Source organism: Homo sapiens, chromosome 19, assembly GCF_000001405.40.
Source record: "Homo sapiens chromosome 19, GRCh38.p14 Primary Assembly".
Lineage (NCBI taxonomy): Eukaryota > Metazoa > Chordata > Mammalia > Primates > Hominidae > Homo > Homo sapiens.
This window is the reverse complement of record NC_000019.10, coordinates 54,913,394-54,929,074: the sequence shown is the minus strand read 5'-3', so window position 1 is coordinate 54,929,074 and position 15,681 is coordinate 54,913,394. Positions and strand designations below refer to the sequence as shown.

The following is a 15,681-nucleotide window of genomic DNA, read 5'->3' as shown; positions in this document are numbered from 1 at the left end:
TTAACCCATCCCCCTGAGGAATATTTCAAGCCTCAAGCCAGACCGTGATACCTTTATTTCCAAAGACTCAAAAGCTCAATGCAAACGGGTGGATTACCTGGTGTCTTGTTCCTGTAATCTCAGCTATGACTGTAATCCTAGATTCTCGGGAGGCTGGGGCAGGAGAATCGCTTGAACCCAGGAGGCGGAGGTTGCAGTGAGCCGAGATCACGCCATTGCACTCCAGCCTTGGCAACAAGAGTGAAACTCTGCCTTAAAAAAAACAAAACCAAAGGCTTCTACAGTGGCCTACAGGGCCTTATGGGGGATCCTCGTGTAAGTTATGAGCCATAAATCATTCTACTTTCTCACTAGCTCAGTATTTTATTTACAAGATTCCCTCCCCCAGTTAGCATGCTGGTTCATGATCTACCATCCTTCAGTTTCTTTCCTCATATCACTTTCCAAAAGAGGACTTAAATGACCAGCATAAGTCTAGCCAATCAATGCCTCTCTGTTTGACTTACCTCTACCCTGTTTATTTTAATACCATCATCCATTGTCTTCAATAGAACATATCGAGATGTCTGCTGTCACTAAAAACTCTGAGGACAAGGATTTCTTCTGCTCACTCCCCTCTGCCTTTCCTCACTACTGGAGCCCCAGCAAATATGCTGCTTGTTTTTTTGTTTTGTTTTGTTTGAGACCAAGTCTCACTCTTTCACCCAAGCTGGAATGCAGTGGTGATATGTTGGCTAACTACAACCTCTGCCTCCTGGTTCAGGCGATTCTCCTGCCTCTCGAGTAGCTGGAATTATAGGTGGTTCCACCATACCTGGCTAATTTTTGTATTTTCATTTTATGTTATATATTTGTGAGATGGAGTCTCATTCTATTGCCCAGGCTGGAGTGCAGTGGCGCAATCTGGGCTCACTGTAACCTCCGCCTCCCAGGCTGAAGCGATTCTTGTGCCTCAGCCTCCCAAGTAGCTAGCATTAAAGGCACACACCACCATGCATGGCTAATTTTTTGTAGAGATGGGGTTTTGCCATGTTGGCCTGGCTGGTCTCGAACTCCTGACCTCAGGTGATCTACCCTCCTCGGCCTCCCAAGGTGCTGGGGCTACAGGTGTCTGTCCCCACGCCCTGCCTAATCTTTGTATTTTTAGTAGAGATGGGGTTTGACCGTGTTGGCAAGGCTGGTCTCGAACACCTGGCCTCAAGTGATCCACCCGCCTTGGCCTCCCGAAGTGTTGGGATTACACGCTTGAGCCACTACCTGCTCAGTGAATGCGTGGATTTCCATGTTCTTCCTCAACAGCCTCTGGAGCTGCTCCCTCATGCCTTTCTATTGTCAGCATCTTGGATCTGCTCTCCTCAGCAATCAGAAGCTTGAAACTCTGGACCTGGGCCAGAATCATTTGTGGAAGAGTGGCATAATTAAGCTCTTTGGGGTTCTAAGACAAAGAACTGGATCCTTGAAGATACTCAGGTATGGGTTTTTTGTTTTGTTTTGTTTTGTTTTTTGTTTTTGTTTTTTTGAGATGGAGTCGTGCTCTGTCATTCAGGCTGGAGTGCAGTGGCGCAATCTTGGCTCACCGCAACCTCTGCCTCTCAGGTTCAAGCAATTCTCCTGCCTCAGCCTCATGAGTAGCTGGGCCTAGAGGCATGCCAACATGTCCAGCTAATTTTTTTCTTTTTCTTTTTTTTTTTTTGAGACGGAGTTTTGTTCTTGTAGCCCAGGCTGGAGTGCAGTGGTGCGATCTTGGCTCACTGCAACCCCCACCTCCTGGGTTCAAGCGATTCTCCCACCTTGGCCTCCCAAGTAGCTGGAATTACAGATGCCTGCCACCATGCCTGGCTAATTTTTTAGTAGAGAGGGGTTTCACCATGTTGGCCAGGCTAGTCTTGAACTCCTGACCTCAGGTGAGCCACCTGCCTCGGCCTCCCAAAGTGGTGGGATTACAGAGGTGAGCCATTGCACCCGGCCTTTTTGGTTTTTGCTTTTTGGGATGGAGTCTCACTGTTGCCCAGGCTGGAGTGCAGTGGCGCGATCTTGACTCACTGCAGCCTCCTTCTCACAGGTTGAAGCGATTTTCCTGCCTCAACCTCCTGAGTAGCTGGGATTACAGGTACACACCACCACAGCTGGCTAATTTTTTTTTTTTTTTTTTTTTTTTAAAGACAGAGTCTCTCTCTGTCCCCCAGGCTGGAGTGCAGTGGCGCTATCTCGGCTCAGTGCAACCTCTGCCTCCTGGGTTCAAGTGATTCTCCTGCCTCAGCCTCCTGAGTAGCTAGGATTACAGTCGCTCGCCACCACACCCAGCTAATTTTTGTATTTTTAGTAGAGATGGGGTTTTGCCATGTTGGCCAGGCTGGTCTCGAGCTCCTGACCTCAGGTGATCTTCTCGCCTTGGCCTCCCAAAGTGCTGGGATTACAGGCATGAGCCACTGCACCTGGCCAATTTTTGTAGTTTTTAGTAGAGATGGGGTTTCACCATGTTGGTCAGGTTGGTCTCAAACTCCCAACCTCAGGTGATCCACCTGCCTCAGCCTCTCAAAGTGCCGGGATTACAGGCGTGAGCCACTGTGCTCGGCCCTGGGATGGCTGTTTCACATGGTGAATTTCCCATGCAGAGAAGAGTTTTTTTGGGAGTGTGTGTACTCTTTGTAGGGATCAACTTAAGGCATCTTTCTATAGCACACTCCTAGCTTAGGAGATAATTTAAAAATTAGATACTTTTCTAAAATGCTCTGTGAATTGAATATTGTCCAACTTTCCCCCAAAACACTTAGTCCTAGGCATACTGAGAGTTTAAATCATCCTGGAGTACAGACTGGAAGCTTGTGTGTATGTGTGTGCATGAGCACACACACACACACACACACACCCCTAATCATTATATCCAAAAATAGGTAGTTCCCAGAGCTGTCCTGGGTCTTAGCTTTTCAGAAGATCGTCCTACAGATGCTCCCTTAGTTGTGACCCGTGTATATCTTTTCAATGACTTATTTGTATTTTTTATTTTTTTTTGAGACGGAGTCTTTTTTTTGAGACGGAGTCTGTCTTTTTTTTTGAATCTGTCTTTTTTTTGAGACAGAGACTCCAGTCTCTGTCGCCCAGGCTGGAGTGAAGCGGTGCGATCTCGGCTCACTGCAAGCTCCACCTCCCGGGTTCACGCCATTCTCCTGCCTCAGCCTCCCGAGCAGCTGGGACTACAGGCGCCCGCCACCACGCCCGGCTAATTTTTTGTATTTTTAGTAGAGATGGGGTTTCACTATGTTGGCCAGGCTGGTCTCGAATTCCTGACCTCAGGTGATCTGCCCACCTCGGCCTCCCAAAGTGCTGGGATTACAGGCGTGAGCCACCGCGCCCGGCCTCAGTGACTTATTTTAACGTAATCTACCTTTAGTTTCTTCTTGCCTTTGTCTTTTCTTTTCTGAGACAACGTTTTGCTCTGCTGCACTGTGTGGCCGTGTTGCCGAGGTTCTCAAACTCCTGGCTTCAAACGATCCTCCTGTCTTGGCCTCACAAAGTACCCGGATTGCAGGCGTGAGCCACTGTGCACAGCCCACTTGTCTTATTCAAGAGTTATTTTAGTTGTAGAGATGATACGCATGTAAACTGCTTCATGATGCCCAGTGTTGCATTATTGGAACGCTAAGCATGTGGGAGTTATTTATATCCTGCTCAAGGTACGATTTTTCACACGTCTGCAGTTCAAATAATTGTAACCTCTGGCATAAATGGGTTAAGGTTTTAGGGGTATATCATGAAACTTGAGCTAAATAGTGTCATGCTTCTCTTGTTGGTGGGACCGAGGTCTGTAATGCCACCAAGGACTATTGGTGACAAATCTCTAGCCCCCTGTGGTCTCTTATGTCATATGTTTGGGGCGTATTTCTTTTCTCATTCCTCAGTTCCTCCTTTGGGAGGCCAAGGTGGGAGGATTGTTTGAGGCCAGGAGTTTGAGACCAGCCTGGGCAACATAGCAAGCCAGTGTCTCCACAATCACCACCCCTCATGTTCACATACACAGGCTTGCATGCTGCAGCCACGTTAGAGCCAAGTTTGCTATCATTAACCCTGGGGTTCACTCTGGCATTCTCTTAGTTCTACTGAAGGTTTGATTTGCCACTATTTTTTATTTATTTATTTGGAGGCAGAGTCTCGCTCTGTCACCCGGGCTGCAGTACAGTGGTGCGGTATTGGCTCACTGCAACATCTGCCTCCCAGGTTCAAAGCGATTCTCCTGTCTCAGCCTCCTGAGTAGCTGGTATTACAGTTGTCTGCCACCATGCCCAGCTAATTTTTGTATTTTTAGTAGAGACGGGGTTTCACTATGTTGGCCAGGCTGGTCTCGAATTCCTGACCTCAGGTGATCTGCCCGCCTCGGCCTCCCAAAGTGCTGGAATTATAGGCGTGAGTCACCGTGCACCAGCCTGATTATCTATTTTTTAAATTTATTTTTTAAAGGCATGTTTTACTCTGTTACCAGGCTGGAGTGCAGTAGGGCAATCTCTAGCTCGTTGCAACCTCCGCCTCCTGGGCTCAAGTGATCCTCTTGCCTCCGCCTCCCGAGTAGCTGGGACTATAGGCGTGCACCACCATTCCTGGCTAACTTTTTCTATTTTTGGTAGAGACAGGGTTTCACCGTGTTGCCCAGGCTGGCCTTGAACTGCGGAGCTCAAGCAATCTGCCTGCCTTGGCCTCCCAAAGTGCTGGGACTACAGGTGCGAGACACCGTGCCTGGCCATAATCTTTTTTTTCTTAGACTTATAAGGATCCCCATTGTGTGGGTCTAAATTTCTTTTTAGAAAACTTTTCTGACTGGGTGCTGTGGCTCACATCTGTAATCCCATGGCTTTGGGAGGCCGAGGTGGATGGATCACTTGAGGCCAGAAGTTCGAGACCAGCCTGGCTAACATGTCGAAACCCCATCTCTACTGTAAATACAAAACTTAGCCAAGCGTGGTGGTGCACACCTGTAATCACAGTTACTCAGGAGCCTGAGGCATGAGAATTGCTTGAACTTGGGAGCTGGAGGTTGCAGAGAGCCAAGATGGCACCACTGTACCCCAGCCTGGGCAACAGAGCAAGACCCTGTCCCCCAGAAAATCCCAAAAACGTTTCCTGCTTTGAGTGTTTGAAAACAGATATTCAGGCATCCTGGGTAGTTGAGAATGAATTTCTGGGAACATTTGTGTTCTCTGATCCCTCCAGGTTGAAGACCTATGAAACTAATTTGGAAATCAAGAAGCTGTTGGAGGAAGTGAAAGAAAAGAATCCCAAGCTGACTATTGATTGCAATGCTTCCGGGGCAACGGCACCTCCGTGCTGTGACTTTTTTTGCTGAGCAGCCTGGGATCGCTCTACGAATTACACAGGAAGCGGGATTCGGGTCTCTAAGATGTCTTATGAATGCAGGTCAGAGGGTCACATGTTAACACTAGAGTCTGTCGAGAGGTAGGATTTGACACTGGTTTTCTCACTATTTTTGGGAGATTCTGCACGAGTCACGCACCCCCTTCACATGACGCTATGTACTTTCTCACAGGGATAATAAAGTTAGAGCACTCTCGTTGCAGCTGCGTTTATTGACATGCTCAGGAGCAAACCTGCAATAAACATGGTACTCTGTGCTTTGTCTAGGAGGAAGTATTGCTAAGAAGTTCAGGGATGATTCGGTTGATTCTTCTATTTCTTTTCTTCCCTAACTCAGGCGCCATGTGGTCTACTATCTGCCAGGTGCATCTATGTGATCAGTGTGTCTTTGTGACTTATGTGATCATAACTTATGTGATCAACCCACGCATTGACAAACGGGCCAGATAGTTCATATGCTTGGCACTGTGGGCCCCGCGGTCTCTCATCAGCTCTCAGCTGTGCCTTTGGACATGGAAGCAGCGCAGGGCCTGGCTGGCACCTGCGGAGGCTTCCCAGAAACAGCTCGTGGGCCATGGGCAGCCAGCCCTGTTCTAATCTATCCTGTTACTCACAAAGCACAAGCTTACAGTCACTGTTGCCTTTAATTCAGAAGATGGCCCTGCCTCACGCTGGTTCTGCTCGGCTCCCACGGGCCGCCTCCTACTCTCTGTGTGTGTGTGTATGTGTCTCTCTCTCTCTCTGTCTCTGTGTGTCTCTCTTTGTTTCTCTGTGTCTGTCTTTTTGTCTCTCTGTCTCTGTGTCTGTTTCTGTGTGTGTGTCTCTGTGTCTGTCTGTGTTTCTCTGTGTGTGTCTCTGTCGCTGGGCGTTTCTATCTCTGTCTTTGTATGTGTCTCTCTGTTCTTTCGTTTTTTTTTTTTGTTTTTTTTTTTGAGACGGAGTTTCACTCTTGTCGCCCATGCTGGAGTGCAATGGCGTGATCTCAGCTCACTGCAACCGCGCCTCCCAGGTTCAAGTGATTCTCCTGCCTCAGCCTTCCGAGTAGCCGGAATTACAGCCCTGTGCCACCATGCCTGGCTAATTTTTTGTATTCTTACTAGAGACGGGGTTTCACAATGTTGGCCAGGCTGTTCTCGGACTCCTGACCTCAGGTGATCTACCCGCCTCAGCCTCCCAGAGTGGTGGGATTACAGGCGTGAGCCACCGAGCCCAGCCTGTCTGTCTGTTTCTGTGTGAGTCTGTGTGGCTGTCTCTGGGAGTCTCTGTGTATGTCTCTGTCTCTCTCGCCTCCCCGTTTCTCTCGGCTTCCCATTGCCATGGCAAACACAGCTTTTCCACACCCTGTATTTGGTCATTCATAGAAAATGCATAGAAGTCACTCCGCAATTTTCCTTAAGAATGAAAAGTTGTCACCATGATGTTAGCACTGGCTTCCAGGCGCTGCCAAAAGGGACTGACCCCTCTCCTCACTTGGCTCTCCACGCTTGCGGTAGGTGATGAGACTATTTTAATAAGAGCAGCCAGGCGCTGTGGCTCACACCTGTAATCCCAGCACTTTGGGAGGCCGAGGCGGGCGGATCACCTGAGGTCAGGAGTTCGAGACCAGCCTCAACATGGAGAAACCCCGTCTCTACTAAAAATACAAAATTAGCCGGGTGGGGTGGTGTATGCCTGTAATCCCAGCTACTCGGGAGGCTGAGGCAGGAGAATCGCTTGAACCCGGGAGGCGGAGTTTGCGGTGAGCTGAGATTGTGCCACTGCACTCCAGCCTGGGCAATAAGAGCAAAACTCTTGTCTCGAAAAAAAAAAAATAAGAGCATTGATATGGGGAAAGTTGTCATGGTCCCAGGCACAAAAACACGGGCATATGGCTAATGCTTTAGGTTGAAAGCTTGTATGACAAAGTTTTCTTTTCTTTTTTTTTTTTTTTTTTTTTTTGAGATGGAGTCTTGCCTCTGTCGCCCAGGCTGGAGTGCAGTGGTGCGATCTTGGCTCACTACAACCTCTGCCTCCTGGGTTCAAGTGAGTCTTCTGTCCCAGCCTCCGGAGTAGCTGAGACTAGAGGTGTGCGTCACCATGCCTGGCTAATTTTTGTATTTTTAGTAAAGACGAGGTTTCACCATGTTAGCCAGGCTGGTCTTGAACTCCTGACCTCAGGTGATCTGCCCGCCTTGGCCTCCCAAAGTGCTGGGATGACAGGCGTGAGCCACTGTGCCTGGCCTGACAAAGTTCTTTTTACTAACCCAAACCTGGAGGTTGAGTGGCTTCAGCACTGAATGATCCCATGAAGGCCCTCATTTATCTTGCTGTTGAGCATTGCTGTCTTTCGTGAGCCCTTGTCAAGATAAGTCTTCTCAAATGCTCGAGATCACTGTGGTGTTTAAGGCTACAGTCAGCTGGTAGTAATGCAGGCTGTGGGTGGTAACAGTGTTTAGCGGGATACAGCTCACACCGATGGGAAGGGTGGTAGAGACAGCGTGAATAAAGGAAGTGGTCAGGTGATGAGAGGTAGGGCTGAGTCAACATTTAGGGTTCTACATGCACATGAAGTTCCCGTGTAGAATTTGCTAAAAATAAAGACACAAAGATAGTAGGTAGAGGCTGGGAGTGAAAACATCTGGGTCGGACTCTGCTGCATATTTAATTGAAGTTTTTTTCCCCTAAATATTTTATCTACTTAAAAATTTTGATTTTGTTTAAGATAGTAGTCTTTTTTTTGGTGGGGTGGTGGGGCGGACAGAGTCTCACTTGGTTGCCTAGGCTGGAGTGCAGTGGCGTGATTTCACCATGTTGGCCAGGCTAGTCTCAAACTCCTGACCTCAGGTGAGCCACCCGCCTCGGCCTCCCAAAGTGCTGGCATGACAGGCGTGAGCCACCGTGCCCAGCCAAGATGGTGGTGGTGCTGTGTTGCCCACAGCCGGGTTGGAGTGCAATGGTGCGATCTTAGCTCACTGCAGCCTTAAACTCAAGGAATCCTCCCACCTGAGCCTCCTGAGCTGGGATTACAGGTGCATGCCAAACATGCTTGGCTAATTTTAAAATATTTTATAGAGATGGAGTCTTGCTGTATTGACCAGGCTTGTCTTGAACTGCTGGCCTCCAGTTATCCCCTTGCCTTCGCTTCCCAAAGTGCTGGGATTACACGCGTGAGCTGCCACACTGGGCTCTTACCCACTTACCAGTAATAAACACAGAACTCCTAAAGTGCTGTGATTACGGCGCCTGACCAGCCTTAATTACCTCTGAAAAGCCCTGTGTCCAAATAGAGTCACATCTGGGGTAGGGCTTGTACATGACGTTTGGTGGGACCAATTCAGTCCGTAGCAAGGACTGTCCTGTGTATCACGTGATGTATAGCAGCACCCCTGGACTTGGATGAGCCTGAGCCTGCCCCCACTGCAACTCGTGACAACCAAAAAACCTCTCGGGATGTGGCCAGATACCCCCATGGGGACAAAATCACCCCCAGTTAAGAATGGCTGGCTCAGCCATTCACAATTGCAAAGATGTGGAACCAACCGAAGTGCCCATTGAATAATGAGTGGATTGTGGGCGGCAAGGCACCCAGGCACCGAGGCAAGAGACAGAGGACACGAGCTGTTCCAGTATAATAAAATATAAAACAAGAATTGTTATACCAGATATAGATCTTAGATATGATTATATATGAGTATCATTAATCATTAGCCGGTAGCAATTACTTTTTATTCCAATATTATAATAATCCTCACTCTATAATCATAGCCTAGGAAAAACCAGGCCATACAGAGATAGGAGCTGAGGGGACATAGTGAGGTGTGACCAGAAGACAAGAGTGCGAGCCTTCTGTTATGCCCGGACAGGGCCACCAGAGGGCTCCTTGGTCTAGCGGTGACGCCAGCGTCTGGGAAGACACCCGTCACCAAGCGGATCATGGTCCAGCGGTAGCAAAAGGTGTCAATTAACAACACCCGCTACTTAGCAGACCGGGAAAGGGGCAGCGGGTGGGGGGGGGGGTCTCCCTTTCCCCGGGGGAGTTTAGAGAAGACTCTGCTCCTCCACCTCTTGTGGAGGGCCTGACATCAGTCAGGCTCGCCCGCAGTTATCCGGAGGCCTAACCGTCTCCCTGTGATGCTGTGCTTCGGTGGTCACGCTCCTAGTCCGCCTTCATGTTCCATCCTGTACACCTGGCTCTGCCTTCTAGATAGCAGTAGTAAATTAGGGAAAGTACTAATAGTCCCTGATATGCAGAAATAATGGCGTAAGCTGTCTTTCTCTCTGTCTCCTCTCCCTCTCTGCCTCGGCTGCCAGGCAGGGAAGGGCCCCCTGTCCAGTGGACACGTGACCCACGTGACCTTACCTATCATTGGAGGTGACTCACACTCTTTACCCTGCCCCTTCTGCCTTGTATCCAATAAATAACAGCGCAGCCAGACATTCGGGGCCACTACCGGTCTCCGCGCATTGGTGGTAGTGGTCCCCCGGGCCCAGCTGCCTTTTCTCTTGTCTCTTTGTCTTGTGTCTTTATTTCTACACTCTCTCGTCGCCGCACACAGGGAGAGACCCACCGACCCTGTGGGGCTGGTCCCTACAGTGGATAAAGAAAACGTGGTGTCTATGTACCATGGAATACTATTCAGCCATTAGAAGGAATGAAATAATGTCATTTCCAGCAATTTGGATGGAGCTGGAGGCCATTATTCTAACAGGAGTAGAATCCATATGTTCTCACTTTTTTTTTTTTTTTTTAAGACAGTTTTGCTCTTGTTGCCCAGGCTAGAGTGCAATGGTGTGATCTTGGCTCACCGCAACCTCCGCCTCCTGGGTTCAAGCGATTCTCCAACCTCAGCCTCCCTAGTAGCTGGGATTATAGGCACGTGCCACCACACCCAGCTATGTATTTTTCTATTTTTAGTAGAGATGGGGTTTCACCATGTTGGCCAGACTGGTCTTGAACTCCTGGCCTCAGGCGATACACCTGCCTCAGCACCCCCAAAGTGATGGGATTACAGGCGTGAGCCACCGCCACCGTGCCTGGCTCTGTATGTTCTCAGTGGGAGCTAAGCTGTTGGTACACAAAGGCAGAGTGATGTAATGGGCTTCAGAGTCTCAGAAGGGGGAGGGCAGAAGGGAGGCCACAGATAAAAAACTACACATTAGGCCAGTGTGGTCGCTCACGCCTGTAATCTCATCACTTTGGGAGACCCAGGCGGGCCGATCACTTGAGGCCAGGAGTTCGAGACCATCCTGACCAAGATGGTGAAACCCTGTCTTTACTTACTAAAAGTACAAAAAATTAGCCAGGCATGGTAGTGGGTGTCTGTAATGCCAGCACTTTGGGAGGCCAAGGTGGGAGAATCGCTTGAACCCGGGAGGCGGAGGTTGTTGCAGTGAGCTGAGGCCACGACACTGCACTCCAGCCTGGGTAACAGAGCGAGACTTGGTCTCTAAATAAATAAAATAAAGGGCTCAGACTCTATCTCAAAAAATAAATGAATAAGGCCGGGTGCGGTGGCTTACACCTGTAATCCCAGCACTTTGAGAGGCCGAGGCGGGAGGATCACGAGGTCAGATCGAGACCATCCTGGCTAACATGGTGAAACCCCGTCTCTACTAAAAATACAAAAAATTAGCCGGGCTAGGTGGCGGGCGCCTGTAGTCCCAGGAGAATGGTGTGATCCCGGGAGGCGGAGCTTGCAGTGAGCAGAGATCGCGCCACTGCAGTCCAGCCTGGGCGACAGAGCAAGACTCTGTCTCAAGAAAAATAAATGAATAAAAACAATAAGAAAGAAAAATAGCCACGTCTTACGTAGGCTGAGACTGGAGAGTTTCCGTGGACTCGTAACCCTGCCTTTGTCCCTGCACTGAAGGGTGTAAGGTGGTTGCTTTCTGCATGAGCCAGTGTTTCTCAGCCTTGGTGCTGCTGCCATCTGGGGCTGCCCTGGGCATTGTAGGAAGCTGAGCAGCACCCCTGGACCCTACCTACCAGATGCCAGTAGAACCCCTCCCCAAGTCATGACAATTAAAAATTACCATGGGCATTGCCAAATGTCCCCTGGAGTGGAGAGCAAAATCACCCAGCAGAGAACTGCTAGGCTAGAGAGGTGCAGGATCCTAGGCTGGGTGCGGGGGCCTGTAATCCTCGCACTTTGGGAGGCCAAGGTGGGCGGATCACATGAGGTCGGGAGTTCAAGACCAACCTGGCTAACATGGTAAAACCCCCATCTCCACTAAAAATACAAAAATTAGCCAGGCGTGGCGGCACATGCCTGTAGTCCCAGCTCCTTGGGGGGCTGAGGCAGGAGAATCGCTAGACCCCAGCAGGCAGAGGTTGCAGTGAGCCAAGATGGCACCACTGCATTCCATCCTGGGCGACAGAGCAAGACTGTAGTTTTTTTGTTTTTGTTTTTGTTTTTTTTTGAGGAGTCACAGTCTGTCACTCAGGCTGGAGTGCAGTGGCGCAATCTCGACTCACTGCAACCTCTGCCTCCCGGGTTTGAACGATTCTCCTGCCTCAGCCTCCCGAGTAGCTGGGATTGGCTCTGGTGGTGGAGGTGCCTGCAAACCTGTTGGTACTGTAACCGTCAGAAAACGAGTAGCAAGAAGTGTCCGAGAAAGCCAGAGAAGTGAGTCCTTCGAGGAGGAAGTGGTCAACGTGTCAAATACAACTGTGGGGGAGCAATAATGAGAAGGGCTGAAAAGGGTCACTGCATGTTCCAGGAAGGAAGCTCATTAGTGTTGGTCACACAGACAGCTTCAGAGGAAGTGTGGGGAGAGAAGCCAGTTTCTAGCGGGTGGGGAGCACAGGTGAGAAGTCAGAACAAAGGCCACCAGTGTGGGTTATGTCTTAGGGAGCGTGGGTCTTCTGGCTGGGCGCGGTGGCTCAGTAATCCCAGCGACTCTGGAGGCTGAGGCAGGAGAATCGCTTGAACCCGGAAAGCGGAGGTTGCAGTGATCCGAGATTGCAGCACTGCACTCCAGCCTGGGTGTGCAGAGCGAGACTCAAAAAAAAAAAAAAAAAAAAAAAAATAGAACAGTTGATCTCCTAGAAGTGAGAGTAGGTGGAGGTTATCAGGGGCTGGGGGTGGTAGGAGAGGAAGATGTTGGTCAAAAAGCACAAGTAGCTGGGTGTGGTGGCTCACGTCTGTAATCCCAGCACTTTGGGAGGCCAAGGCGGGTGGATCACCTGAGACCAGGAGTTTGAGACCAACATGGAGAAACCCCGTCTCTACTAAAAATACAAAAATTAGCCGGGCGTGGTGGCACGCACTTGTAGTCCCAGCTACTCGGGAGGCTGAGGCAGGAGAATCGCTTGAACCCGGGAGGCGGAGGTTGCAGAGTCAAGATCGCGCCACTGCACTCCAGCCTGGGTGACAGAGCAGGACTTCGTCTCAAAAAAAAAAAAAAAAAAAAAGCACAATATTCAGTTATAAGATGAGTTAGTTCTGGGGGTCTGATATATGGGATGGCGATTATGGTTAACACAAGCAGCTTTTAAATGTCTTTACCCCTGCTCCCCGTTACCAGCCAAAGCTGTGAAGTTCCAGGCCCTTGGTGTTTCGAACAAAGAATTGGGTGTGATACACACACATAGCAAAGCGGCATAAGTTTATTAAGCATAGGATTACACTCTTGGAGAGGGGAGAGCAGGCGGACCTCTGCGAAATGAGATCGGCATCAGCTCGCTGTACTTTGGGTCTTTTTTTTTTTTTTTCTTATTAGGAATATACAACCATTTATTCACTGTTCACTAGTATTTACAATAAAGTGAACAAAATACAGTTCAATAACATTCAGATTACCACAAAGTTGTGTTTCCTGGCTTTTACTGAACCAGTAAAGCAGATACTGAAAAGACTGAGCCTATGTGGTTTTTTTTTTTTTTTTTTTGAGATGGAGTCTCGCTCTGTCGCCCAGGCTGGAGTGCAGTGGCACGATTTTGGCTCACCGCAACCTCCGCCTCCCAGGTTCAAGCGATTCTCCTGCCTCAGCCTTCTGAGTAGCTAGGATTACAGGTGCCTACATGTAAGGAATGAGTTGGGGTAAAGAAAAAATACGCGAGTCAGCAGTTTATTTATTTTGAGAGGGAGTCTCGCTCTGTTACCAGGCTGGAGTGCAGTGGTGCAATCTCGGCTTACCACAACCTCTGCCTCCCGGGTTCAAGTGATTCTGCTGCCTCAGCCTCCCGAGTAGCTGAGATTACGGGTGCAAGCCACTGCGCCTGGCTAATATTTTGTATTTTTTAGTAGAGATGGGGTTTTACCGTGTTGGCCAGGCTGCTATTTAATGGAAAAATCAGATTTAGAGAATAAATTTGACCGGCATGAGGCACCAGAATAATGGGAGGGCGTGAGGACCCATGCGATGAGTATATAAATGGGTTGATAAGTAGAAGTTCTCAGGGAGGAAAGCGATGGTGGTGTCCAGACAGCATTTCAAGACCCCTAGTGAGAAGTCTCAAGTTGCAGGCTGTGCCACAGCCCCGTATATACATTCACTCATTTGATATATATTTCCCGAGAACCCCGTTATAGTTGCGGGAGCTGTGAATGCAGCCACTAAATCTGACATAGATCAATTCACACGAGTTCACGGTAGAGGCAGGAAAATGGACATGCATGCCGAATCAGGGTTCAAGTGCTGTTACAGGGAATTAACAGGTGCTTTGGGATGAGGAAAGTGTTGTCTTGGCTGGGCGCAGTGGCTCACGCCTGTAATCCTAGCACTTTGAGAGGCCAAGGCGGGGGGATCACCTGAACTCAGGAGTTTGAGACCACCCAGGGCAACATGATGAAACCCTACCTCTACTAAAGATGCAAAAAAAATTAACCGGGTGTGGTGGCGCGCGCCTCTAGTCCCAGCTACTTGGGAGGCTGAGGAAGGAGAATCGCTTGAGCCCCAGAGGCGAAGGTTGCAGTGAGCTGAGATTGTGCCACTGCACGCCAGCTTGGGCTACAGAGTGAGACTGTCTCAAAAAAAAAAAAAAAAGTGCTATCTTTGTGAAGTCGGAGTTGTGGAAACTCTTGGAGGAAATGATATCTCTGCAGAGCCCTGAAGAACAAGGCAAGGTGTGGATAAAGAAGCAAAGATGGTGGCCGGGTACGGTGACTCACACCTGTAATTCCAGCACTTTGGGAGGCCGAGGCTGGTGGATCACCTGAGGTCAGGAGTTCAAGACCAGTCTGGCCAACATTGTGAAACCCCATTTCTACTAAAAATACAAAAATTAGCCGGGCGTGGTGGTGCATGCCTATAATCCCAGCTATTCAGGAGGCTGAGGCAGGAGAATCATTTGAACCCTGGAGGTGGAGGTGGCAGTGAGCCAAGATTGCACCACTGCATTCCAGCCTGGGTGACAAAAGTGAAACTCGGGGGAAGGGATAGCATTAGGAGATATACCTAATGTTAAATGACGAGTTAGTGGGTGCAGCACACCAACATGGCACATGTATACATATGTAACTAACCTGCACGTTGTGCACATGTACCCTAAAACTTACATTAAAAAAAAAAAAAGTGAAATTCTGTCCCAACAAAACAAACAAAAAAAAAGAAAAAAAAAAAAAAGGAAGAGAAGATGGAATAATTCTGTGGTTAGAAGGAATTGGGGTATGGTTGGGATGCAGCCAGGAGTCACTTATTTTTTTTTTTTCTTTTTTTTTTTGAGACAGAATCTTGCTCTGTCACGTAGGCTGGAGTGCAGTGGTGCGATCTTGGCTCCCTGCAGCCTCCGCCTCCCGGGTTCAAGCTATTCTCCTGCCTCAGCCTCCTGAGTAGCTGGGATTACAAGCACACGCCACCATACCTGGCTAATTTTTATATTTTTAGTAGAGATGTGGTTTCACCATGTTGGCCAGGCTGCTCTCGAACTCCTGACCTCAGGTGATCCTCCCACCTTGGCCTCCCAAAGTGCTGGGATTACAGGCATGAGCCACCGTGCCTGGCCGAGTTTTTGTATTTTTAGTAGAGATGGGGTTTCATCATGTTGGCCAGGCTGGTCTCGAACTCCTGACCTCAGGTGATCTGCCCGCCTCAGCCTCCCAAAGTGTTGGGATTACAGGTGTGAGCCACCGTGCCTGGCAGGATTCACTTATAAAGCTGCTTCTCTACAACTGGTTGTTGCCACAATGCCTCCTGAACCATTTGATACAGACCTATTCTATATTGGTTATTAACTATTTTGAATGGCTTCCTGCAGAGAAAGGAAAGAAAAAAAGACCAAAGTAGGAAAAAAATATTTCCATGGCCATCCTGTTAAAGAAGGAGAGATCTTTTCAGAAAAGACCAGAGTGGTTAAAAGTATGGTTTGCAGTAAGTGGTACAAAAATAGTTAGAGCC

At 49.0% G+C, this 15,681-nt stretch overlaps 2 protein-coding genes across 7 annotated transcripts in view, besides 2 other annotated features; one reads left to right on the top strand and one right to left on the bottom strand.

Annotated features, from left to right (window-relative positions):
* NLRP7 (NLR family pyrin domain containing 7) overlaps positions 1-5,560 on the top strand; it is a 42,729-nt gene extending 37,169 nt beyond the window's left edge. For 3 of the 5 annotated variants that reach the window (NM_001405531.1, NM_139176.4, NM_001127255.2), the window contains 2 exons: positions 1,300-1,470; positions 5,203-5,560. In NM_001405531.1, coding sequence (NP_001392460.1) covers positions 1,300-1,470; positions 5,203-5,335 — 304 coding nt within the window. In that variant the 3' untranslated portion in view covers positions 5,336-5,560. Of the gene's footprint in view, positions 1-1,299; positions 1,471-5,202 lie in introns of those variants that run through there. The other 2 variants (NM_206828.4, XM_047438386.1) reach the window with 2 other exon arrangements.
* The window catches only part of NCR1 (natural cytotoxicity triggering receptor 1), a 40,011-nt gene that overhangs the window by 9,134 nt on the left and 15,196 nt on the right, over positions 1-15,681 (bottom strand). Inside the window, exon 6 of one of the 2 annotated variants that reach the window (XM_011527529.4) lies at positions 7,561-7,931. The exons of the other annotated variant lie outside the window; for it this stretch is intronic. Coding sequence (XP_011525831.1) covers positions 7,891-7,931 — 41 coding nt within the window. The 3' untranslated portion in view covers positions 7,561-7,890. Of the gene's footprint in view, positions 1-7,560; positions 7,932-15,681 lie in introns of those variants that run through there. 2 annotated transcript variants of the gene reach the window in all.
* Positions 7,747-8,246: an enhancer, noted in NCBI's record as "H3K4me1 hESC enhancer chr19:55432197-55432696 (GRCh37/hg19 assembly coordinates)". NCBI's record gives its function as "activates a minimal SCP1, AML or CMV promoter by ChIP-STARR-seq in naive H9 embryonic stem cells {active_cell/tissue: H9 hESC(naive)}" and the evidence as "EXISTENCE:reporter gene assay evidence [ECO:0000049][PMID:30033119]".
* Positions 8,247-8,748: an enhancer, noted in NCBI's record as "H3K4me1 hESC enhancer chr19:55431695-55432196 (GRCh37/hg19 assembly coordinates)". NCBI's record gives its function as "activates a minimal SCP1, AML or CMV promoter by ChIP-STARR-seq in naive H9 embryonic stem cells {active_cell/tissue: H9 hESC(naive)}" and the evidence as "EXISTENCE:reporter gene assay evidence [ECO:0000049][PMID:30033119]".